At 43.9% G+C, this 26,264-nt stretch overlaps 4 annotated features.

The window, feature by feature from the left end:
* Nucleotides 21,502-21,581: an enhancer, noted in NCBI's record as "active region_23571". NCBI's record gives its function as "activates an Ori minimal core promoter by ATAC-STARR-seq in GM12878 lymphoblastoid cells {active_cell/tissue: GM12878}" and the evidence as "EXISTENCE:reporter gene assay evidence [ECO:0000049][PMID:35858748]".
* Nucleotides 23,547-23,596: a silencer, noted in NCBI's record as "silent region_16587". NCBI's record gives its function as "represses an Ori minimal core promoter by ATAC-STARR-seq in GM12878 lymphoblastoid cells {active_cell/tissue: GM12878}" and the evidence as "EXISTENCE:reporter gene assay evidence [ECO:0000049][PMID:35858748]".
* Nucleotides 24,169-24,228: an enhancer, noted in NCBI's record as "active region_23570". NCBI's record gives its function as "activates an Ori minimal core promoter by ATAC-STARR-seq in GM12878 lymphoblastoid cells {active_cell/tissue: GM12878}" and the evidence as "EXISTENCE:reporter gene assay evidence [ECO:0000049][PMID:35858748]".
* Nucleotides 24,710-25,547: an enhancer, noted in NCBI's record as "H3K27ac-H3K4me1 hESC enhancer chr5:159931865-159932702 (GRCh37/hg19 assembly coordinates)". NCBI's record gives its function as "activates a minimal SCP1, AML or CMV promoter by ChIP-STARR-seq in naive H9 embryonic stem cells {active_cell/tissue: H9 hESC(naive)}" and the evidence as "EXISTENCE:reporter gene assay evidence [ECO:0000049][PMID:30033119]".

Genomic DNA, 26,264 nt, shown 5'->3' with positions numbered 1-26,264 from the left:
TTATGTGGATGTTCCTCAAAAAATTAAAAATAGAACTACCACATGATCCAGCAATACCATTTCGGGGTATACAAACAAAAGAACTGAAATTAGGGTTTCTAAGAGATATCTGCATTCCGTGTTTATTTTAGCACTATTCACAATAGCCAGAATGTGGGAACATCTGAATGCCCATCAACAGATGAATGGATAAAGAGAATTTGGTATATATATGAATATTATTCAGCCTTTAACAAAAAGAAGGAAATCCTGGCATATGTGACAATATGATAAACCTTGAGGACATACATTATGCTAAGTGAAATAGGCCAGTCATAGAAGAAAAAATACTGCATGATTGTCTTTACAGGAGATACCAAAAATGGTCAAACTCACAGAAGCAGAGAATAGAATAGCAGTTGCCAGGGGCAGGAGGGAGGGGAGAATGGGGAGTTGCTGTTCAGTTTCAGTTATGCAAAATGAATTAGTTCTAGGGACCTGCTATACAACATTGCACGTATAGTTAACAATACTGTATTGCACACTTAAAAATTTGTTAAGAGGGTAGGTCTCACATCATCTTCTTACCACTATTTAAAAAAAGAACAAGAAAAAAAGAATTACCATAAGACGTAGCAATTCCACTCCAAATGTATACCCCAAAGAATTAAAAGAAGAGACTCAGATTCTTGTACACCATTGTTCATAGCAGCATTACCCACAATAACCAAAAGGTGAATCTAAGTGTTTATCAACAGATTAATCAATTTTAAAATGTGGTATATAAATACAATGGAATATTATTCAGCCATAAAAAGGAATCAGATTCTGATATATGCTAAAACATGAATGAACTTCAAAAACAAGATGCTAACTGAAGTAAGCCAAACATGAAAGAATATTGCAGGATTCCATTTATATGATATACCTAGAATAGGCAAATTCACAGAGAGAAAATAGAATAGAGGTCATCAAGGACTGGGAGAAGAGGAAAATAAGGAGTTACTGTTTAATGGGAACAGTGTTTCTGTTTGGGGTGATGAAAAAGTTCTGGAAATGGATACTGGTCATGGTTGCACAATATTGTGAAAGTATTTCATGCTACTGAATTGTACACTTAAAAATGTTTAAAATGAGGCTGGGCACAGTGGCTCATGCCTGTAATCCCAGCACTTTGGGAGGCTGAGGCAGGTGGATCACCTGAGGTCAGAAGTTTGAGACCAGCCTGGCCAACATGGTGAAACCCCATCTCTACTAAAAATAAAAAAATTAGCCAGGCATGGTGGCAGATGCCTGTAATCCCAGCTACTAGGGAGGCTGAGGCAGGAAAGTCACTTGAACCTGAGAGGCAGAGGTTGCAGTGAGCTGAGATCACACCACTGCACTCCAGCCTGGGCAACAGAGCAAAACTCTGTCTCAAAAAAAAAAAAATGGTGCATTTTGTGTTTTATATATATATTACTACAATAAAAAGTACATATATGTCATATATATATATATATAACTCTAATTTGTTTGATATGATTGAGGTGGACCTTCAGAGATTTTCCTAGGGTTAAGGGTCTTTCAATGTCCATAGTAATCACTTAAAAATAAGTTAATGTGAAAAAAGTCAAGTTGCTTTGTCGAAAGTGCTTCTTCTTGGCGCTCAGCTCAGAAATCACTTCCTCCAAGCCTCCCATGACACCCCCAGGTTTGTTGCTTCTCCTCTGTCTTCCCTCAGTACCTCCACCTCTACAATATTGCCCAACACCACATACTAGACTGGTTTGTTTACCTATTTACCCCAGTAAACTAAAGCTACTGAGGGCAGGAACCATTGTTCATGAGTCTCCAACATCTAACAAACCTGGACCTCAGCATTTAATAACAAATGAGTGAATAAGTGAATGAGCCAGTGAATAGATAAATGAGTTCATAAATAAACAAATGATTGTCACATCAGCCATCAGGTGTCCACTGAGATTATGTGCAAAATTTTGTACATACATAAGTTTTCAGGAGAGAAGGTCCATACCTTGCATTGGATTCTTAATGGGATGCATGACCCCAACGTGCCTAAAACCACTGAAGTAAAGAGGGGACAGGATGGGGATGGACTGGAAGATTTCCCATGGATGGCCATTGGCAAGGATTTCAAACAGATCAAATAAGAGTGAGCAGCAGATAACATATTACACTGTGGACAAAAGCAAGGGAGGAATCAGACACTTTACTTCATGGGTCCAGCCAACTATTCCTCTTTGATTCCCTGAGGTTCACCAGTTCTTTGATTTTAGAAAAACAAATGAATACTCTGGTCACTATCACTGTGTCATTCTGGCAGACTTTAGCTAGACACAGCTGCTTCCAACTTTTAAAATTGTCAAGGACCGTGTTTTTGGAACAGCTGAATCCTCTACTGAGGAAAGGGCCCGTCATTGATCTAAATTACATGCAATTCAACAAGATATTTAATAAGGTTCTACTGGGTAATAGAGGCCAGGGATGCACAGATGATTATGCCATGGTTTGAGGGGTACTTATAGTTTCATGGAAGGAAATCCTCTGCTCAACCCACCTAGTAATCAAAGAAATGAAAATTAAAATGACAGCGAGAAACCTCTTTGGACCCATCAGACTTTTTGTAAGGATATGGGGAAATGGGACCTTCCTGGGGATGGAAACAAAAGGTCATTCTGGAGGGTACTTTCTTGGTGCTTACCATGTATCCTACCTTACCTTGCCCTAGGGTAAGTGGTAGCTTACCCTACTACTCAGCAATCCTACTCCTGGCATATACCCCCAAGAAATTATCTCACTGATTCATAAGAGGATTTATGCAAAGTTGTTTTCTAAGTCTCCTAGAAATCCCAGAGACTATTGTTTTTCCTTCTCCCACTTACACAGGGCATGGTGGAAACTTTAGTTAATAATGCTCTGCCACAGGGGAAGAACTCAGATGTATTGCCCTTGACCTACCCTCATCACCTAGCTCTGTAATTCCCATCTCAAACCATCTTGGGCCTGTAATTTATCTCTGTTTCCAGTAGCAGGTAGTTATAACAGGGTAAATGTTCCCTGGTGTCAGGTCCACAACTATGCCAAATGTCACACTTAGGGTCAGGTTCCAGCCCCAGCTGAGGTCCGAGGGGAGTGGGTGGATGGGCGAATAGCTAAAAGAACATTTGGGGGACCATAGGCAGGTGAATATGGTTTTATTCAGCAGCTCTCTCATCAGCAGCTTACTCACACTAGCTCTCACACACCGTTCATTTTCGGCTACTTGCTCCGGCCACTCCCACGCACAGCTGCACGGCTGGCTCTCCCTTGCCTTCAGGATCAGCAGCTTAACTCTTTCTCTCTCTGGGCGCAAGCTGGTTTCTGGCTTCCCCCTGTCCATCTGCCAGATGATAACTCTCCCGTACAGGGGTCAGTAGCTTCACTCTCTCTCTCTGGGTGCCAGCGCTTGCACAGAGCCACGTCGAGCCCTAGCCTCCCTCTATCTGCAAGAAGGACAGCTCTGGTACTCTCTCTCTCTCTCTCTCTCTCTCTCTCTCTCTCTCTCTCTCTCAGCACAAGAGCAAGAGCCTGTACAGCATCAGCAGGGCAGCTATACCTTCTACAGACAATAGTGGCTCAAAGCCAAGTATGAACTTACACAAACAGGTCATATAACAAGTGGAGTATGCACCTGTGACCCAAACTCACTGAGTCACTTTGGCCCGGATGTCTGCCTCAGCCTATTGTTGACCCTTTGGGTTTCAGTCTCTCCATTGAACTTTCTGTTCTTAGTAACTCATCTTTTGTGTGGAAACTGATAATTTGTGTGCTCAGTGAGTTGCATACCAATTTTTCATTGAATATTTTTATTAATGTGTTCATTTGTTATGACTCTATTCGCTAAATAAAATATAAATAAAAATATGACGACATTATGATTTAGAAAAATAGTTTAGGATAAACCATCATTACATAATTTAGAAATATATAGAAAGAACTCAGGAAGCAAGTATTAAGCCTGCTTTCCAATATCTCTACTCTGTGCTTTGAATGATAAAACCTATATCACTTTATGTAGCAGTGAAGCTTTATTTTTTTAGCTTACTAAGAAATATTTCAAATATAAAAATAAGCTCTACTTGCTCCATCTGATGTCTGATTCTGAGCAGGGCAGCTAGCTGATTTGATAAAATGCAATATTTCCCCAAGGCCAGGACTGTGGATAAAATGATTTTGAATATTAAATATCTTCATAACTTCCTACTAAAGCAGGAACAACCAAAGGAAACTGTAATGTATTCAGTACTCCATCCCATTAGCAGGTGTTGGTGGTTCCAAACTTTAGCACTGTCTACATCCTCTCTCTGAGTATCTCTTTATGCTGCATTAGCTTTTCTTAGAAAAACCCTCGAACATCCTAGTCTATGTTTTGAATTCTACTTAAAAGGTCTCAAATGGAAACAGAGATGGGCTTCAACCAGAGTGCAGGGCAAATAAAATGGAGGTTCATTCTTCCCTCCATTTGCAGCTCCTCTTCCCATCACCCCTGGAGAAATGAAGGGCTCTTGCCCAAAGTATACATTCAACACAAAGGAAGATGAAAGCCTGGACCCTGATGGCAAGGTTTATAGTCTAGTGGTTAAAAAATTAAAACCCGTAGGCATTGAGAAGGAACAAACATTTCAGGGGAAGAAGTTTGATGCCAAGTGAGTTGAATAAATTGTAAATGCCGTGGGAACTTAGACCACAGACAAATCATTCCTAGTACTTAGAAAAGACTCAGTGAAACCAACAGACCATGAGCTAAGCCTTGGAGAATGGCAAAAATTGGGTAGGTGGAGAGGAGGGAGGGTGTTCCAGGTGGGGGAAGCTGAGTGAGCAGAGGACCTAAAAATGGAAAAAGACAAGACATATGGAAGCAAATGGAAAGGCTTGTCTGAGCAGACATAAGCTGTTTGATTAGAAATAGAAACTGAAGCCAAACCATGAAGGGTCATAAATATCAGACTGCAGAGTACACACCTGACCTTTTCCCCTCTATTCTCTGGTGACACTAATCTGATGAACTAAGTCACAAAGGGGTTAATGGTAGATGTCTTGCTTCCTAATTTTCAGATACCCCAGGGATAGCAAATACCTTTCCTGTTCCATACAAGATCCCATCTATTGGTAGAAGCTGTGTGGAAAACTGTTTCTGAGGAAGATTCTAAAGTCACATCTGAGGAGATTGTGAGTGCTGTGACTTCTTATTGGCATTTGTCAAGGATAAAACAGAGAGGAATTGCAGTAAGAATAGCAGTGAAGATGCTTTGTATTTACCAACTGTGATTCCAAAAGGGATGACGACAATGCTAAGAAATCCAGGCATCAAGGTTGTTTGATGGGGAAAGTGAATGTGCTGACAGCTGGCCTCAGCAGTAGAGAGCACTGTAATTGATTAGTAATGTCTGTCATGGGCTCAGAAGGAAGAAGTAATGCTACACATGCTACATACTTACTGAACCTACCTTTACACTAAAAGTACTTCAGGCATCAGAACTAACCCATGCAGAAAGATAGGTGTTCTAGTTTTGTTTGGTTTCATTTGGTTGAGTTTGGGATTGGAAAAGATATAGTTTTCAATTTGTATAACCAAATTAGCAGATATTCATTCTATGTAAAAGACCAGCCCAAAATGGACATGGTGCCTCAGAATAAACTCAAGGCAGGACCAGAGAGCCCATTCATCACAGAGTTTAGGGATTTTAAAGACTTTAATCACAGCAGTTTTGTTCATCATAACCTGTTTATTTGGTGAGACCTACCCAGTGTTCATGAACTTGCTGCCCATGCCTGACAATGCTTCCTGGTTTGAATTAGCCTTCACAGGCAGCTTTTCACCCTGATCTCTGATCTCACTGCCTCTAATTTTCCCTCCTGTTGGAAGCCCTTCATCTCCTTCCTTTCCACACTCGTGGGGAAGAAGGAGTTTGTCAGCACAGAGAGCAATTTTCTCATCTTCTTTTTATTCTTCCTGTAAATACAAACAAGCAACCAGAACTACAAGAACTTTCATATTTGCAAACACCCCAGGGTGTTTCACAAAAATCAATCTGACCAAAAACCATAAAATACAAATTCACCTGATACAAGCACAGGATGACTGTGGAGATTTCTCCCTGTACGTCTGCATTACACAATGTCCATACAAATGACTCTGGAAACTGCACCAATTACCAGAGCCACTGGATACATCTCAAGGTCAAGAGAATTTGCAAGAAAAAGAAAGCAAATGAAATGCATCTTTAAAGAGGTTTATTTGCCTAAGAGAGACAGGGCTGGAGCACATTCAAACAAAAGCAGATGATTTGGGCAAGAAATTTTCTACCTTCTCTTTGTGATTTTACAGCTATCTGAGAATCACAGCCCCCATCATCCATTCCAGAGGCGTTTCCTAATCTGAAGTCTGTGTGATGTTCTTCTGTTACTGTGCAAGAAATGAGAATTGTGCTGGGCATAGGGGAAGGCAGACAGGAGGGGCATAGATGCTGCATATTTAAACATATAAAATGTTTACTTTTTTCTAATTATTAAAAAAAATCTTACTTAGAGTAGAAATTTACAAAACATAAGGAATAAAAAAAAATTAAAGTCACTACTAATCCCTCTCCAATCAGCAATAACCATATATTGGTTATTGCATATATTCACCAGTGCAGTCTCAAAAGGCCTACAGCAGAACCCTCTGGTGCATGTACGACATGAAGACTCCTGGACCTACGCCCACAACTGCAGAATCCAGACTTCTAAGGGTGGGTCCACACGTCAGCATTTTTAAAAGACACCCCCAGCAATTTTTTTTCAATAACATATTGTTTTAATTAAAGAGGTCATTTACAGTTGAGAAAATACCTTCTCTGGTAGTCCTTTCTTTGGTGGCTCATGAAAAAGGAGTTCTTTGTGCACTTCATCTTTGAAACATAACCTTTTCCAGATACAGTAATAATATCTTGTAGTTTCATCCAATTGTGTGGCAAACTTCCCGCTGAATAATTCGTTCTAATGATTGTCTGTTCACATTTTCACTCATGTTTTCCAGGCATTTTCCAACATCATTTGTTGACCAAAAAAATGTATCTTGGTTTGCTGCCATCTTGTTTTCCAGTCTGTAATCCATTTAAGCATTTGCCTACTGGTATTACCTCTTAGATTTTCTCTATTGAAAAAAAAATCCACCTCAGGGCTGGGTGTGGTGGCTCATGCCTGTAATCCCAGCACACTGGGAGGCTGAGATAGGAGCATTGCTTGAGCCCAGGAGTTCAAGACCAGCCTGGGCAACATGGCAAGACCTTGTCTCTACAGAAAATTAAAAATTAGCTAGCTGGGCTTAGTGACCCCCAGCAATTTTTATGAGAACTTCTTCTCTGCACTATAAGCCCTCCAAATGTATAGATTTGTGCTTCTTTTGTTCACCGTTGTGTCACAGAGCCTGGCACATAGGGGGTACTCAATAAGTTTGTATACAGCTGGGCATGGTAACATGCACCTGGAGTCCCCGCTACTCAGGATACTAAGGCAGGAGGACCACCTGCACCCAGGAGTTCAAGACCAGCCTGGGCAACATAGTGAAATGCTGCCTCTTAAAAAAAAAAAAAATATATATATATATATATATATAGAGAGAGAGAGAGAGAGAGAGAGAGAGAGAGAATAAACAAATAAATGTTCTTAATATTTTTATATTTTTTTTTCTCTCACTTATAAATTTTTCTTTTCTTTTTTTTTCTTTTTTTGGAAATGTGTCCTCACAGTTTCACTTAATGGCAGACAAGGCACTTACCATGTGCCAAACCCATGAAGTAACCATTATCTGTAAACCCTATTTTTCAGATGAAAAATCTTGGACACAGAGAGGTTATGTAATTCATTCCAACATCACACAGCTAGGAAGCAGTAGAAGCACGTTTCAACCCCAGTAGTATTACTAGAAATCCGGAGTCTTCATGAATCATGTCTGCATTTGTCTTGAACCTCTTCTCAAGTTTTCAATATCGTTTCACATTTTGTAAATGGTAACATGGTATTCCACTGTACCGATTCACTAGAATTTATTTAAGAAATTATTGGACAGTTTCTCTCTAATTTTCAATGCTGTGTAAAAACCATGTTAATTAAATTTTCCCATATCCAGATTTATATTTTCTTAGAATCATTTCCTGAAAATAGAATCGCTAAATCAAAGGATAGGATCATTTTTAGGGCTCTTGATTCAGATGTCAAATCAAACCCCTGTTTTATTAAGATACACATTCACCATCAGCAGAGATACCTATTTCCCCCATAGAAAATACAAAAACTTTGAATATCATGTAAAATATTTATTAGTACTGCTATATTTAGGGGGGGTGTTTTAGTTCTTTTTAAATAGGGCACAGGGTAGGATCTTGGCAGTGCCAATGGATAAAGAATTAGGTAAGGAAGTCTGGGCGTGGTAGCTCACGCCTATAATCCTAGCACCTTGGGAGGCCGAGGCAGGAGGATCCCTTGAGCCCAAGAGTTCAAGACCAGCCTGGGCTACATAGAGAGACTCTGTCTCTATTTTTAAAAGTTAAGTTAATTTTTTAAAAAAAGAATTAGGCAAAGAGACAGAACTGAGTTCTTCCCCACACCTCCTGGGAGCATTCTAGGTACCCCTTTCCAACATATCTTGGGTTTTGTTTGTGTTTTTATGTTGTTTTGTGTTGTTTCTGTACTTGATATGGTTTGGCTGTGTCCCCACCCAAATCTCATCTTGAACTGGAGTTCCCATAATCCCCACATGTCATAGGAAGGACTTGGTGGGAGGTAATTGAATCATGGGGGCAATTACCCCCATGCTGCTGTTCTGGTGATAGTGAGTGAGCTCTCATGAGATCTAATGGTTTTATAAAGGACTTTTCCATCTTGGCTCAGCACCTCTCCTTCCTATCATCATGTGAAGTATGTGTTTGCTTCCCCTTCTGCCTTGATTGTAAGTTTCCCAAGGCCTTCAAAGCCACTGGGAACTGTGAGTCAATTAACCCTCTTTCCTTTATAAATTACCCAGTCTCAGGCAGTTCTTTATAGCAACATGAGAACAGACTAATACAGTACCTTTATTTATGTTACACTCCCAGCTGTTTGGATGTTTTCATTTCTATGCATTCCACAAATTCACTTCCTCACTGTTCCACTCCTTTGTGATTACACTTCCCAGAAGATTTACAAAAGACCTATTAAGAGTCAACAGAAGCCTTATCTACTGTGATTATCCACAGAGCACAAATAAAGGAATAGAGGCTCAGCCAGGCTGAGTAACTTGCCCAAGGTCACACAGCATGCAAAAGGGAAGAGCCTGGATTCTCAGAGCTGGAGCTCTTAACTATCACCCTCCACAGCCTCTCTGTTGGCAAAACTTCCCGCCCCTGAGAGAAAACCTGAGCTGTGAATCAACCATTCTCCAGGCTGACTGACCTAGCAACCTTACAGCCAAACAGAGAAATTACTTCTCCCCTTGCAGCAGAAGAGGGAAGGAAAGAGTCTCTACCCTTTGCCCAAGCATTCCTAATGGATCCATCACCCTTCCCGGAGTCACTGGCTTCAAACACTTAGCCTGCGGTGTAACTGAAATCATTATCGATCCAGACTGTTCTCTAAATGAGCTCACAATCTACCATGCCGCAGACCAGCCAGGCCCCGAGGAGCAGCTGCCTCCTTGATCCACTCTTCCTGGCTCATATTTACACTAGGAAATTAGAAGTTAAAGTAAAAGCAGATAGAGATGGAATTGAATTATATCAAGCAAAGACACAGTGTGCAAAGAAGGCAAAAGTGAATGAGCAAGTTTGTGCCAGGCATTGCCTGAGTTGGCAACTCAGTGCCCTTCCCAACATCTCCGGTATTCATTGATGTGTGAACTTAATGGGGGCAGGGGCTGTGCCTGTATCACTCACATCATATCACTGTGTGAATGTATCACCATCCTGCTGTCAGGAGAACTTGGAAATGACAGATGAAGAGATTGGCTTAAACCAGTCTGTGCTTGTTCTTTTCTAAGTGAGAAGCCCAGAGGAAAGGCAACCTCAGGGTTGGTCTGGGAGTGCAACCAAGCCATCAGGATCCAGGCTTTTCCTGCATTTCTGCTCTGCCATCCTCTTGTCGTCTCCTCCTACTCAGGCTTGATGCTCTGGGCCCTCAAGCTCCAAACATCAACTCCCCATTCAAAGCAGGAAAAGAGGAAAGAGGGCAGTGCCACCCAGGCCCCCTTCCCTGTCTGCACTTTTTATCAAAAGCACCCAGCCTCCTCTCACATTTCATCCAGTTCAGGATCTCAAGCCTACTAGCTGGGGTGGTGGGGGTGATGAGGGAGTGGTGTTATCCTGATCCATTTAGAACAATCATAAATGACTCTTCACTGAGGTCTGACAAATTCTTGCCCCAAACAAAATTGATGTTCTATCAAAAAGAGAGAAAGAGGAATATTGGCAACTAACAATGACTGTTTCAACTGTACCCTAAGCACACAGCAGAAGGCCTGGCAAGTAGCAGGTGCTCCGTGAACAAATTTGATGAATCAATAAATGCCTTTGTTCTGTAAGGATGGAGGGAGGAGTGTGGATTGGGGAAAAGGGTCAAAGAGGAGAACAGAGGAGAGTGGAAGATATGGGGTTGCATCTGCTTCCCATCTATTCCTGGGATAGGTTTGAGCTCCTGTGTTTGAAGGAGTAAAGGCCAGAAACTGATGGTCATGAGCATCCTGGTGATATTCTAGGTGAGGGGTAAAGGCCAGAAGCTCAGGGCACTGATTGGCACCACATAACCCAGCAATGCTCTGCCCATAAGAAACTGAAAGCATTAGCGGTGTCCAGAGAGAGTCCTTTGGCATGGAAAGCCAGCAGTATTCTTGGGGTGGGCCTCAGGGCGGCTTCAGCAGATGGCCTGCCAGGCTGTGGACTCTATCAGGTGGGAGCCAGAAGAGAGGAAGGAGGAGGCCACGTAGAGGCCACAGCTGACAGACTGGCCATGGGTGCTCCTGCAACAAGCCTTGGAAATCCAAAGAACACTGTGAGGGGGTCAGTGCTGTCAATCAAGAAGGTGGAGGCTTGTGCCAATACAATTTGTATTTCACAGGCTGGTGTCATTTAAGTTGCAAGTGGACAAGACAGAGTTGGCTATGGTTTGCCCACAAGAGGAACGTTGGCCTAACTAGATTCTCAGAGCTGGTGACACTCATGGTAAGAAGCCTGCCCAGGAAGCCGGAGTTAGATTTCGGGGTCAGGATTTGAGGATTGTGCAGACAGAGCTGGAATTGGGGAACTGCTAGCAGCCACGTCTCCCTCATCCCTGAGCCATGCCTAGAATAAGAGTCACTACTCTCTCTCTGGTTTAGATGGTCCATCCTCATCCCTGGACCTCAGTTTTCTCACTGATAAAATGAAGGGATCACATTATAGTCCCTAAAAATCTCTTAACACTGGTATTCTGTTTTATTAGCTAAGGAATATACAAACAAAAAGAGCATTAAAATAAAATCAGAGCAACTGAAGACATGAATAAAGATATGGCCCAACCAAGAGGCAGTGATGAAGCAGTTGAAATTCAGGCTCTGGACTGGGCCGGACCTGAGCTTAGGGTCAAGATCTATATCATCTTATATTTCTAAGTTTGAGACATGTTTTCATTGTCTGTAAAATGGAAATAATAATACCAATCTCATGAAGTAGTGTTGAGAATTAAATAATAGACCCATTGCCTAGGAAAGTGCCAGGTATCCACTAGGTGCTTCATAAATGTCACTTTAAAGTAACCAAAAAAAAAATAAATCCTCAAGTGATGATCTGCTACTAGGACTTCAGAACCTCAATCTCCTGTTTTAGTTTCCAAATCCTTGTTCCAAAAAACTATCCATTTTCTGCCTGCCAACTTCATGTCTAAGGAGGCAGCCAGAACCATCACACCTTCCTGAAAGTTTAATGACTGCATGTTTTATTTAGGGGATTGCCAGGGTTCATCCTGGACTCAGAGAGGTGTGGGGAGGCCCTCTATTCTCAAAGGGCCCAAACTTGTTCCTTTCATAGGCCTTGTCTTGTTGGATAGCCAAATAAAAGACTTTGCCCACTCAGATTCAAAAATCTATTCATTAATGGGATGCAATTCACATTATATGCCACTAATTACCCTAGGAAGGCATTTAAAATTAATAAGGAACTACAGTTTAATTGTTCCATAATGACAGGGAGTTCCAAAGTGCCCTCTTGAGTAATAAAATTAACATTTAAACTAGTTCAGTCAAAGAACCTTCCCTTAACTATAACTCTTCACTATTAGCATGGCTTATTTATTTATTTATTTTTCTCTTTGGGCAGTTCTAAAATACCACAAATTTAACTTTAAGAATCTGCCGAATGTTCCAGACAGCGACTGCATCGTGTGCAGTATTTCAGGTGAACTATGGATGGCAGGAGGAACCCTGGCCCCCACCACACACACAGACACACACACACACACATATACACACACACAGGCTAAAGTTAGATTGCCCTACATTTATTTAAGCAAGGGTAGAGAATCTTTTCAGAGGACAATGCATCTCCCTAAAGGGAGGTGGGAGGCCAGGGCCAGCTGGCAAAACGCTGTCCAGGGTAGAGTCATCCAAGATCGCAGAAGAGACATTTTTGCTCTGAAACCATTGTTTCTTTCACATTTGAACTGCTATCACTATTCCAAGATCCTCTCTGTGCTTTTGTTTAAAGGAATGTGGCATATTTAAAACATGCCTGTAAAAGGTGGATTCTAATTTCCTCTCCCTTTGAATATGGGGAGGATTTGGTGATTCCTTTCTAACAAATAAAACAGGGCAAAAGGGAGGCTGCGTGTCTTCCAGAACTAGGTTCTAAAAAGGACATGGCTTTCACTTGGCTCTTCCTTGAGATGCTTGTCCTTGGGATCCAACCACCATGTTGTGAGGAAGCCCAGGCACACACAGAAGCCGCACTTAGGTGTTCTGGCCAACAGGCCATTGAGGCCCCCAGCCAGCAACAGCATTGACCGCCAGATCCATCAGTGATGAAGCCTGAAGAGGATTCCAAGCACCCAGCATTCAAGCCACAGAGGCCCCAGGCACTGTGGGACAGAGACAAGTCCTGCCCCCGGCACTCTGAATTCCTGACCTGCAGAAACTGTAAGAGCTATTAAATGATGATTTTAAGCACCTAAATTTTGGAATAAGCTGTTACACAGCATTAGATGACTAACACAGGAATGTTTACAGACACTGTGCATCCTGGTTCTTAAACAAAGCCTTAAGGCCAGTAAGGCCTTATCCATTCAAGATAGAGGAGAATGAGAGGGAGGCCAGCCATGCCTGACCACTGTCCCAGCTACCAGCCTTCCAGCATGTGTGTCATCCTGCAGAGCAACATATTCCAAAAGAGGCTCTTTGGCCCCGAGCAATTTTAAGGTTGAAGGATTTTCCTATAATTCAAAGAGATAGGACTAAGCACAGCTTATCAACCCTGGATGTTTGCTTTCCCTAAAGAGCTAAGGACTGGCATTGCTAATCCCTTGAAAGTGTCCTTTCAGAGGCTCCCGTCATGTTGCGGCTCAGTTCACACATGCTTGGGAGAGACGAAAAGTCAATGGAGAGGGAATGGCTGTGTTCTGGGACTTGTCGTACCCCATTCTCCATGCCTGGCCCTAGCCACACCCCATATCCACTGTCTCTCACACCAGTACTGCTAACTCCCTCAGGCCAGGCCAGCTGTCTCCTCATTCACTCATTCAATATGCATCAAGTACTTACTGCATCAGGGGAGATAGACATTAAATCAATCATGCAAATAAATAATTATACTTGTTCTAAGCACTGTGAGGGAGAAGTACAGGGTTCTCTAGGGAGCTAGGGATATTTAAACTAAGACATGGAAAACTAGAGAATTATAGAGACAAACAAGGGCAGAGTGGGGGCATAAAGAGAACATTCCAAACAAACAAATAACATGTACAAAGGCCACAAGATAGGAAGAAAATGTGTGGTACCTGGAGTCCTAAAGAAAGACCAATCAGGCCGGGTGTGGTGGCTCACGTCTGTAATCTCAGCACTTTGGGAGGCCGAGGCGGTTGGATCACAAGGTTAAGAGATCGAGACCATCCTGGCCAACATGGTGAAACCTCATCTTTACTAAAAATACAAAAATTAGCCAGGCTTGGTTACACGCACCTGTAATCCCAGCTTCTCAGGATGCTGAGACAGGAGAATCATTTGAACCCGGGAGGCAGAGGTTGCAGTGAGCCGAGATCACACTGCTGCACTCCAGGCTGGCGACAGAGCCAGACTCCGTCTAAAAAAAAAAAGACCAATCAATCAGCACCATAAGACAGGATGAGAAAAAATAATAATAATAATTTTTAAAATTAAAAAAATTTAAAAAGAAGGACCAATTAGGACAGTGGGAGCAGAGAAAGCTGTAGAAGAGCCTGATGAAAGAAGCATCCCTGGGGGAGGGTGGGGGTGATGTGCAGGCCTCGTGAAAAGATTGGGTCTGTATTCCAAAAACAACATGCAGCTGCAAAAGCGTTCCAAGCAGGAGAGTGACAAGGTGAAATTTCTTTTGTTAAATCATTTCTGTTCCCTAACCTTATTGTTTCCCTCCTGTATGTGCACCTTTGTAAAACCCAGATCACATTATATCACAGCTACTTGCTTAGGTAACTTTCTCCCAGACTGATGGCCTCTGAGAGCAGGGACCATGCCTGCACCATACTTGTGACTTCATCGGGCTCCCTACCACTCCTCCTGCAGCCTGCAAGGTCTGGCACCATCATTCCCTTGTCCACCTCTCCAGGATCATCTCGAGTTTTTTTTTTTTTCTTCTTTTTTAAAAAAGTTTATTTTATTTTATTCTAGGTTCCGTGATATATGTGCAGGATGTGCAGGTTTGTTACATAGGTAAACATGTGCCATGGTGTTTTACCTCACCTAACAACCTATCACCTAGGTATTAAGCCCCACATGCTTAGCTATTTATCCCGATGCTCTCCCTCCTCCCACCCGACCATCCAGTCTTTTTTCTCTGGTCACTCACCATGGACGAGGCACACTGACAGACTGTCACTTCAGGGGCCCTTCCAAGATGCCCTGGCTAAGATAAGACCCCCGCTAACTGATCTCAGAGCAACCAATGCTTCCCCACTGGAGCACCTACCAGGATTTATATCACTACTTATATACATTATTGATTTAATATCTGTCTCCCCTCCTAGACTGTCATTTTCATGAAGGCAAAGAACCTGTCTCTCTTGGTCATCATCATATCCCCAGTACCTCGCACTGTGACACACATTGCTGGCATTCCAAAAAGAGTTGTTGAATGCCAGAATGAATGAGTATGCGTGAACTGGCAAATGAATGGGTGAATTAATGCATGACCCCAGTGGCCACCCGGGCCAGTTCAACCATGGATGTTGGGCACTTCTTTGTGATCACCCTTCAGTACTTTTAATGGCACAACCTCTTTGTTGGCCTCACTGACACACTAATGGAAGGAATCCATCTTAATGCAGCCTTTATAGGATAAATCAAAAGTGGGAACAGGTAGAGGCAGGGAAGGTATTTTTGGCAATCTCTGAGTAGTTATCTTAATCCTTCCACCAAGTAAAAGGGTGAAAACTGGCAAACACCCATGCTCAGTGAATGATTCCCTGTGAATGCATTCCTAAGCTCCCCAAGTCCAGGGCATTTCAAAGTCTTTCACAGGAACCAAACACAGTCCTATACGTCAGTGCTTTCCAAGCTACCGCTGGTCAAGGGCTGAGTTTTATTTTTATTTTCAACCCATCACAGAAAAATACTTTATAAAATACCAAAATTATATGCTTGGATGTGACAGCAATGTCAAATTGCTATAAATGTTTCTAAATACTTATTTTTCATTTCTGTACTCATTTCATCATGGGTAACACATATTTTGCACACTTAAACCCATCTGCAGACCACACTTTGAGTAGCACTGTTCCAGATCAGTACTCGCACTCCCACTGTGTCACTCCTCAGCCATGACAGACATTATTAATCGATTATCACACAGTTTCCCACTAAGACCACATTTGGCTTTCACATCTTTCTGTTCCTAGTATTCAAGACACTGAGCAAACAATCAGAGATACCATGGGAAATAAACCTTATTTATCATCTCTGCTCTACATGGTCCATAGATTGGCCATTTATCATATTTATGTCTGTGATAAGGAAATGTCTGTATTTTTGTTTATAGCCTAATGAAAAGTTCACAGAGAAAGGCCAACTCATCAAAAAGAATCCTTCTTGTTCATTCAGTTCAGTAGCAATCTTCTGCCGCTTGAAGAGTCTTTAATTCATACATACTAACAAAAGATGCAGCAATCTATATTAGATACACAAACTTCTGGTCTGTTCTCAGATGTCAGCTGTACAGATCATATTTGGAAATCTGGAATTACTGGTTGTTCATTGCTTTGATTCTTTCTTCCTTCAAATTCTTCATTCCTATGGCTTACCTGCTTTTATTTCAAGTTGTCACAAGGGTTCATTCACAGTGGATTGTTTTCAGTACTCATTATCCACTGTGTCAAAACACTGAGGGTTTCCATTCCTCCCAAGTTCAGTCTTTTCCCCAGCAAGACTAAAACCCCTCAGTCCTTCTCCTGTAACCATCAAGCTCTGACCCAAACTCCATTCACAGTCATGGAGAGTCCAAAGTAGAAGAAGCCACAAGAGAGAGAGAATTGATCTGTTGTCCCTGCATTTCAGATCCAAAGCTCAGTCTGAAGAAAGATGAATTTGACTTTGAACCTTTTCTCTCCACCTCACCTGTAAAGTTCTCTTTGAAATGGTTTTGCAGCTTCCCAGTGGACCCTGCAAACCACAGAATCACAGACTGTGAGTGCTAGAAGGGACACTGAAGAGCATCTATGTAATCAAAAATCTTCTTTTTAGCAAGGAAAAACAAATGAGGTTAGTTTGAAGAGTCAGAAGAATCAGGCTGTCTCACTAATCACTTGGATGACCTTAGAAGTGCTACTTCACCTCTCAGCCACCGTTTTCAAGGAAAACAGATAAGATCCTTAAAATGTGATGACAGTGACTCACTCACGGGCTAGTTGAGAACTAAATGAGATCACAAAAAGCAAAAGTGCTATGAAAGTGGGAGCACCACGTGAATGTCAGGGTTTTAGCTGTCCTGAAGTACAGGTTGAGCATCCCAAATGGGAAAATGCAAAATGCTTTGAAATCTGAAAGTTGTTGCGTGGCAACATGACACTCAAAGGAAATGCTCATTGGAGCATTTCAGATTTTAGATTTTTGGATTAGGTATGTTCAACCAGGTAAGTATATAATGCAAATATTCCAAAATCCAAAAAATGTGAAATATTAAACACCTCTTGTCTCAGGCATTTTGGATAAAGGATACTCAACCTGTACCACAGGAAACTAGAAGCAAGTGTCAGAGTGGAGACACAGGGGTGAGGGAGAGAGATAATTCAATCTACCTTTTGACAAAGACCTTGGGAGCTGGAATGAATTTAAGAAAAAGAATTAGGAGGTTTGGACCCATTTGTAGTCCAGGCAAGAAGTGATAGTAGCTTGAACTAGGATAGTAATTGTGAAAGGAAAAAGTGGACAGATTCAAAAATAAATATGAAGTAAAATCCTCAAGGCTAGATGATGGATTAGACATGGAAACAGACAGAGAGGTATTCAGGTGAGATTTCTGGCTTATTTAAGTGAATGGTGGCGTCGTCCTCTGAGTCTGGAAACACTAGAAGAGATTCAGGTAGGTGAGGCACAGATGGAAGATCACAGACTCATTTTCCAACAGGGTGAGTTAGAGACATCCAAGTCAAGGTGGCAGAGAGGCCACTGGAGCTGAGAGGTATGCATGGCTCAAGATATAAAAGAAGTATATGCATGGGGGTGGGAATGGAAGCAATGGGCTGGAAGAGATCGCCCAGAGAAAGAATACCGGGTGGAAGAAGAAGTGGGCCTGGGGCCAAGCATGAAGGAATCCTGATATTTAATGGCAGAGGAGGATGGAACCTCTAGAGAAACAAAGGAGAGACAAGAGAGACAGAAGAAAAGGCAGAATCATATCTCAACCAATGGAGGGAAGAACTGGCCAGTAGCATCAAGTGCTGATAAGGATTTATTTAGGATAAATATTGAAAAGTATCCATTTGATGAGCAATGGACATCATCAGTGCCCTTTCATGATAGAAATCAAACTCCAGGTCCTTTCCAAGTACAGGTTGTTCCCTGTTCCTTGTCCCCACTACCATCCAAGATTCATAGTAGACCTCCAGTCTCTGGGAAAAAACAGTCCTCCTTGAGGGACAGCTTTGGGCTTCAGTTAAGCCTGGAGCTTCGTGGAGACCCAGCTCCACCCTACCCTCTATGAAATCCTACGTACTGATACTGGTTTTGTCTAAAACACAGATGAAATATAGAGCACGCCTGTTACACCAGACCTGGGTCCACATCAGACATCACTAATGGATCAGAATTGCCACCTGCAAACGTGTGTCTCTGGGGGTGACTGTCTCCGTATCTCCAGTTCTGGTTTGCCTGCACAGCCCAGAACCCTGGATGCCCCTGCCCACCACATGGTCCATTTCTCCCTTAGGGAGGCAGAGACAGCAGAGATGAAGCACATTCCAGTGCCAGCACCTCTTTGTTCCTGGTTCCACATCCCTGGCTGCTCGGCTGCACACAGCTGGTCGGCCAGACTGTTGCATCTGTTCCCAATATTGATGTGATTCTCAGTGATTTGCTTTGGAAATCAAAACCTGGGGATTGTTGGCTTTATCTAAAAAGCAAGTCCTGCTCCACTGGGGAAGAGGAATGACTCGGCTCACAGCAGAGTTGCGTTTGTTTGGTTTTTCCTGTCGGACACAAACATCCACCCAACGGGTCCTGCCCAACATGGACGATGCGCGAGCCTCCTCTGGAGTTTGATTTGGGAGGATAATAAGCTAAACAAAGGAGCAGATGATCCCGGAGGCTTATTTGCAGTCTGCACAGTTATATTTAGCCATCTTGTGACTGGGTTGCTGCCTCTGTGTGGCAATTGCCCTTGGGAAATTTAATCCCTGGGGGATGCAGAGAGGGGACAGAACTGGGAAAGGGTATGGAGGGGTTTTAAATGCTGCTTTGGGGCACAGGAAGGAGGGTCAGACCAAATGTGTCCAACAGGCAATCAGCGGGGGACAGTATTTTGGACACTTACTAGTAGAAGCATGGAAGAGAATACAAAAATGTGTAAGGGGACATTTGTGTTCATTGTCTGTAAATTGTCTAGCACATAGGATTGTGAGGTCCCTTTGTCTTTCCTTTATGCCTACACTCAATAAGCCTGGCAGAGTGAAAAGGGCAGCGGGTGGGAAATCCAAAAACCTGGATTCTAGTCCTAGTCTGCCATCAGCTCAAAGCCATCTCCCTTCTCTGTAAAACGAAAAGCCTGTCCAGAGAGGATGATCCCTAAGATCTTGTGATTTTACCCGTGACAAGATGCAGAGAGGCCACGCAGCATCAGTGGGGAGCAGACGGTTAAGGAAATCGTGGAGCTGTCACAACGGAACACTCTGCAATCATTACAAATGGTGGTGCTGCTGGGCGCGGTGGCTCACGCCTATAGTCCCAGCACTTTGGAAGGCCAAAGTGGGTGGACCACCTGAGGTCAGGAGGTCGAGACCAGCCTGGCCAACATGGTGAAACTCCGTCTCTACTAAAAATACACAAATTAGCTGGGCGTGGTGGCACTGGCCTATAATCCCAGCTACTTGGGAGGCTGAGGCAGGAGAATCGCCTGAACCCAGGAGGTGGAGGTTGCAGTGAGCTGAGATCGCACCATTGCATTCCAGCCTGGGCAACAAGAGTGAGACTCTGTCTCAAAAAGAACAAAAAAAAAAAAAAAAAATGGTGGTGCTGATACCACCCGACAAAAAAATGAACTTCCATTAAAATAATCTGTAGAGGGGGGAAAATGGTGCTAATCTATATTAATTGAGACTGAAGGCATTTATAATCTCTTGCTAAGTGAGAATGGCAGCAGCAGCATGGAGCAGCCCTTCACCGTCAATCAGGCAGCTGTGGAATGGGAGAGAAAGACCACAGAGAGCTGGAGGGTGGTCCACAAAGGTCTGGAGAGGAAGGGGAATCCAAGCAGAGCCTCATCTCACTCCTGCTGACCTCTCTCCCTCTGTCTTTTGGGACTAACTTCTCTGGGAATGTGAACCCCAGAAACTGGGACTGCCAGAGAAAGGAGGTTTTTATATAGGATTTGTGTTGTGGCTTGTTTTGCTTTGTTTTGGTTTGTTGTCTTCATGATGTTTCATGCCCAAATACATGGAGGTAGAGCCCAAACCACCATCTTTCCCCAGCTTGAGGCAGCAAGAGGAGTACCAAAGGGAGCTTAGGTCCTTAGAGACCTAGTCACCTGGGGGGACACTCTTCGAAAAAGATGGTGGCTTTAGGCAGAAGCTCCACCTCTTGTTGGGGCCTAGCCTCGTAGAGATAGTCCATCATTCTAGAATGATGCGGCAGGAAAAACATTATATATCATCCCTCATTCCCAGAGCAGTCCTGTTTCCACCCTACTTATTCTCAAGCTGACAGGTTCATGAGCTAGTACAATAAGGCTCTGGATTCCAGGATAATGGAGGGTTTAATCTGAGTTTCAGGGAGACACGTAACTCTCACAGATATTCACCAAGTCTCCCATATCAGTCTCATCCTCATCAAAGGCAAAGAGAATACTGACTGTCATGGTGCGATTTGAAAGAACCAACAGTACCTCCTTCACCACCTGCCAAAATTCCACCCTTAGCTCTTCATTCCTTTCTGTTAAAGTATACTCAACTGCTGAAATGAAAAAAAAAAATGTATGAGTCAGGAAAATAAAGCTCCCTCAGTATGAAGAGCCCCCAGAATTAGAAATCACACAAATCACAAATAGGCATCTAAGTGGGCAGTTCTCCAGTCTCAATCATCTTTACCACTTCTCTTCTTTGAATCAGAAGAGTCTTTTCACATCACCATGTTATCCTTTTACAAAGGGGCAATTTAGGCCCAGAGGAGTTTCATTTCTTAAGCAAGGTCACACAGCACATTAAGAACCAACATTGGGGTCCTCTGACTCCTGGGAACATTTTAAAGGACTCTTTAAGGTGAAATTCAACACATTATTTCGTTGTTTTATAAACAGCAGGAACCTCCCCCACCAAAAGTCCTTTTTTATTCTTTCTTTGCTGGCACCAGCATCTATAGTGATTACAGTATGCAGAATGAAATCATCTGAGTGTGTAGACGATGTATCTGAATTCAGACACGCAGAGTTTGGGCTTGGAATTTGACACGTCCCACACCAGTGCAAACCCTATCGGCTTATCTGGGTGTGCCTGCAGACTTCATAGCCCTGGTCTCACGCTTCTCAGTCCTTTGCCTTGGTGTTCCTGCCCTCTAGTGGCAATAAACTTTACTACAGTCACATTCACCAGCAGACAGCAAATCAAACGGAAGTTAGATTTGAGAAGTTATAGCACTTTTCAGGAAGGATAAAGGCAACCCACATCTTTCTCTTTAAAAGCAGACCTCGTTATCATGGGAATGATGTTTAGTCTCACACACAAAAACGCTACTATCTAGTCTTTAGCACGAAACAGATCTTAACTTAGGCATCCAAGGTCCTGGGCTGGAAAATAGATTATATAACTGACTTAGGGAGTCATGGGAATAAGGGGGCTCAGAGAATCTATAGGGCAGGAACAGAAAGACTTAAAGTGGCAAAAGAGAAGGACATTGGCAGATGGTGCCCCCTGTCAACACTGGCATGAATTAATTCAAAGTCCTGCCTTCCCCTTTTCCCAGCTTTGAAGGTTCAGTCCCCTAGTCCCCAACCACACCTCCCTTTGCTCATCTAACTCCTGCTCCTTCTGCCCATATCAGCTCAAGGCTCCTTCCAACTCTGAAAATGAGATGGGCCCTCGTCTTATGCTCTCATGGTATGGGGAAATTTCCAAGCATAAGACTTTTTCACAGTCCTTAGTTTTATGTATCTCTGGTTATTTTCATGTCCACAGTAAATTATATAAGCTCCATGAGCTTAGGCACTGAGCCTCCCTTTATTGACCATTGAATCTGTGCCCCCAAAACAGTGATTAGCACATAGGAGGCCCTCAATTAATGCTGTTCAATTAAATTAATAAAATTGTAAGTGTTGGTTGAATGTGTGACATTTGTTTGCAGACTGAACAAACAGATCTTGTCTCAATGAAGAAAACAGGCAAAGTGTACCTAGGGTCTGTCCACAGGGCTATGCAGAGCCAACTGTGAGCACTTTCCTTGTACAAGCCGAGGGTGGACACTTTCCTTGGACATCACCCCAAATGCTCACCCTCACCCTGGGATGAGTAGCTGAGCAAGGGTCTTCACCGTAATTATACTTTTTGATCATGAGCATCCATAGGCTCAGCTTTTGTTCCTGCAAAGGTAACAGAATCTGCCTGAAAACAGAGGACCGAAGGACAGCAGACAGAAAGGCTTTGAAGACACCAGGAGACCTGACCTTCAGAGCTGCCTCTCTGTGTGACCTTGGATGCTACCTCCCTGCACTGGGTCTCCATGCTTTCATTTGTAAAAGAAGGAGCTTGAGGTATGTAACATCAAAGTCGTGGCGTTCTGCTGTCAGAAACCCCAGCTGAAGCTGGCTTAAAGTAAAAAAATGGAATATATTGCTCATGAAACTGCAAAGCCATGGATTCAGGGTTGCCTCGATCTAAGATATCAAGCAACGTCATCCAAGCCTGGTTTCTCTTCTCCATCCATCAGTTCTGCTTCCCTTTGTGTTCACTCCACTTGTAGGCAAGTTCCTTCTCTGTGAGGGTCTCTGGCAGCTCCAGGCTTTCATCCCCTCAGCAGAAAAATAAAGAGGCTCTCTCTCAGACCCAGAACTGCAGCTCAGCCATACCTTTTGGGCCGTATACTCATTCATGAGCCAGTCACAGTGGTTACGGGAAATTCTTGGCTCCACATGAATCACAGAAACACCACCCAGAGGCCAAGCTCCATGACAGTAATGAGGAAGCACTCTCAGAATGCTGGGGAGGAGGTACTACACACACTGAAACAAAAATGGCACCCCAGAGTCAGTGATCTTTAAAGACTCTTCTAGCTTTTTTTACCTTGCCGTGACTCTGAGATTTGATACCAGGGAAAGGGAAGGGAGAATAAAGCCATAAACACTCTCTAAACTTAGTCCAACCTCAAATCTTTCAAAAAGCCTAAATGCGGAATAACACTCATCATCCATTCTGAAGGGGGAAACGGGGTGACAGCGGCAGCCCTAGAAAGCAAGTGATGACTTTGACCCTCCAGAAGCCACGGGGTCTGAAAACGAATGACATTTTGATAATGCCACTAAAATGAAACATTTCTATTTCACAAAAAGATGGACAGTCAGTGAGATTCATAAAAAAAGAAAAAAAAGAAAACATTATTAAACTTTCCCTTTCACTGCTTCTTTGTATCTCTGGTTGAAATGGAGCAAGATGCAGGTTGCCATGGTGACGGCTGAATTTTAAATAACAGGGCTCAGGCGCACTGGCTGCTGGCTGTACCGCCCCAGGCAGGAAACGGTTGTGGGGAGAGAGACAGAGGCTGAGTGAGAAAGGAAAGAAAGCTGCTGGGCTCATCCCAGGACACTGTCACTTCTCCAACTTGTTTTCCTTGCACTGAGGGAAAGGTCCAAGAATGACGGACTCTCCAGCTTCTTCATAGAATGAGGGAAGGTGGGAGTCCAGATGCATAAGAACAGAACCTCAGAAGTCACCTTGTCCCTCCCCTACCTGATTCTCTCTTGTGACAAATGGATTTCCCCTACACTTACACCCCTTCCCACGAACAACGGGCCCAGCTCACCCAAGTGTTAGATGGGACACTGGAAGCCTGTCCCTAAGAAAAACGTCCCAAGAGTTAGAGACACAAAGGGCAAGAGCCCAAAGGATTTTTAAGTGAAAGAGGAATTTGCGGTTCAAAGCCCAGAAGCTGTCAATTCACATAGCTGTAGCCACATATTCCAGTTCTGCTCCTCTCTCTAGAACCATCCAAGACTGCAATGGAGAGATTCAGGAAGTGGTGAGTTCTCCATGACTGACATGTTCAAGCCCACATCAGCCAGTGAGGAGCTGCCCGACAGGGGGCTGTTCAAATCGTTTCAGGCTTCAGAGAGTCACGGTCCTGCTGGGGCAGCTCAGAGAATCCATGCGGTAGAAGACCAAGTCTTTCACCCTGCACCCTTCTACGTTCCCAGGCCAGGGAAGAGGGAAACCAGAGGCGGAAGCTGGAGGAACCAGCAGCCGGGGAGCCCAGAACTCCACTGTGATGCGTACACGCTTGTGAGGACTGGCTCTGACAGGAGGTGGTCTCTTCTCCACTGCCTTCACTGCTGGTATGTGTGTGTGTATGTGTGGGGGGGGTATGTATGGCAGGCCCAGGCCAGCGCTGTTTCCCTGCTTTCTTAGATCCTTTTCTCAGAACTTTGGAGTTCCTGACTCTGTGTGAGAAGGCACAGGCAGGTGGCCTGGTGGTGTTAACACTGGGCCACTGTCCCTTCTCTTCCCCTGGCTTCACCACACGCCAAGCAGACCCCAAAAAGGACTTGTGTTCTCAGCCTGCCCTGTCCCTTATCTCCTGGCCAAGGTAGCAGGCAGCCAAGGCCACTCTTTGTTTGTCAGGGAAAAGCTTCTAGATGTTAAATAGTAGTAGTAACAATAATAATAATAAACACATAGATTTTTCCTCATGGCTGGGAAAGTGGCAGGATTACTGAAGCTGAACACGTCTGACACTTCCCCAGAAGCCAGGTGAGCAGAGGCCCCAGGAGAGAAGGGAAGAGCCAAAGAGACAGGGTCCCTGGGCCTGTGACCTGCACCCCTGGGACCTGTCCTGTGCTCCAGGCCTGACAGTCGGCAGTTTGGGACCTGGGATTCCCCATCAGTATTCCCCAGGAAGGTCAGGACCGCTGGGAAAATGACAGCATCTTAAGAAGGAGATAAAAGCCAGGGGAAGAAAAGGGACAGTGGCCCAGTGTTCACACCACCAGGCCACGTGCCTATGCCTTCTCACACAGTCAGGAACTCCAAGGTTCTGAGAAAAGGGTCTAAGAAAGCAGGGAAACAGCACTGGACTGGGCCTGCCATACATACCCCACACACACATACACACACATATACCCCACACACCCATACATACCCCACACACACACCCCACACACACACATCCCACACAAGTACACCATACACACACATGCATGCACACACACCCCTCACACCCCACACACACCCCACACACACATAAACCACACACACACCACATGCACACATACACATACACCCCTCACGCACACCACACACACACACCCCTCACACCTCATACACAAATACACCACACACACCCCACGTACACCCCTCACACCCCACACATACAGACACCACACACACACTGACACCACACACATACACACACCCCTCACACACATACACCACACACACACCCATCACACCCCACACATACATACACCACACACACATACACCTAACACACACACCCTTCACACCCCACACACAGACATACACCACACCCACCCCTCACACCCCACACACACCACACACACAAATACACATGTCTCACACACACACCCCACATACCACACACATACACACACCCCTCACACACACATACACCCCTCACACCTCACACACACATACGCACACCGCACACGCACACCTCTCACACCCCACACACACACACAGACTCCACACACATACACACACACCCCACACACCCCTTACACCCCACATACACATACACCACACACATACCTTACACCCTACACACACGTACACCATACACACACATGTGCACATACACACACCTCACACCCCACACACACACCCTCACACCCCACACACACACCCTCACACCCCACACACACATACACACACAGGCTCCACACACACACCCACACACACACAACCCTTACACCCCACACACATACACCACACACACACACCTTACACCCCACACACATACACCATACACACACATGCGCACAGACACACCCCTCACACCCCAAACACATATACACCACACACACACACCTGGATCAGGGACAGGAGCAGGAAGGGGCCTTTTGTAGAAACAGTCCCCTGGGATACACACACACACACACACACACACACACACCCACACTAGGCTTGTGTATGCATGAAACAGCTCC

This window comes from Homo sapiens, chromosome 5 (genome assembly GCF_000001405.40).
Source record: "Homo sapiens chromosome 5, GRCh38.p14 Primary Assembly".
Classification (NCBI taxonomy): Eukaryota; Metazoa; Chordata; class Mammalia; order Primates; family Hominidae; genus Homo; species Homo sapiens.
Note: the sequence above shows the minus strand (reverse complement) of the source record. Positions and strands in the feature narration are given on the sequence as shown.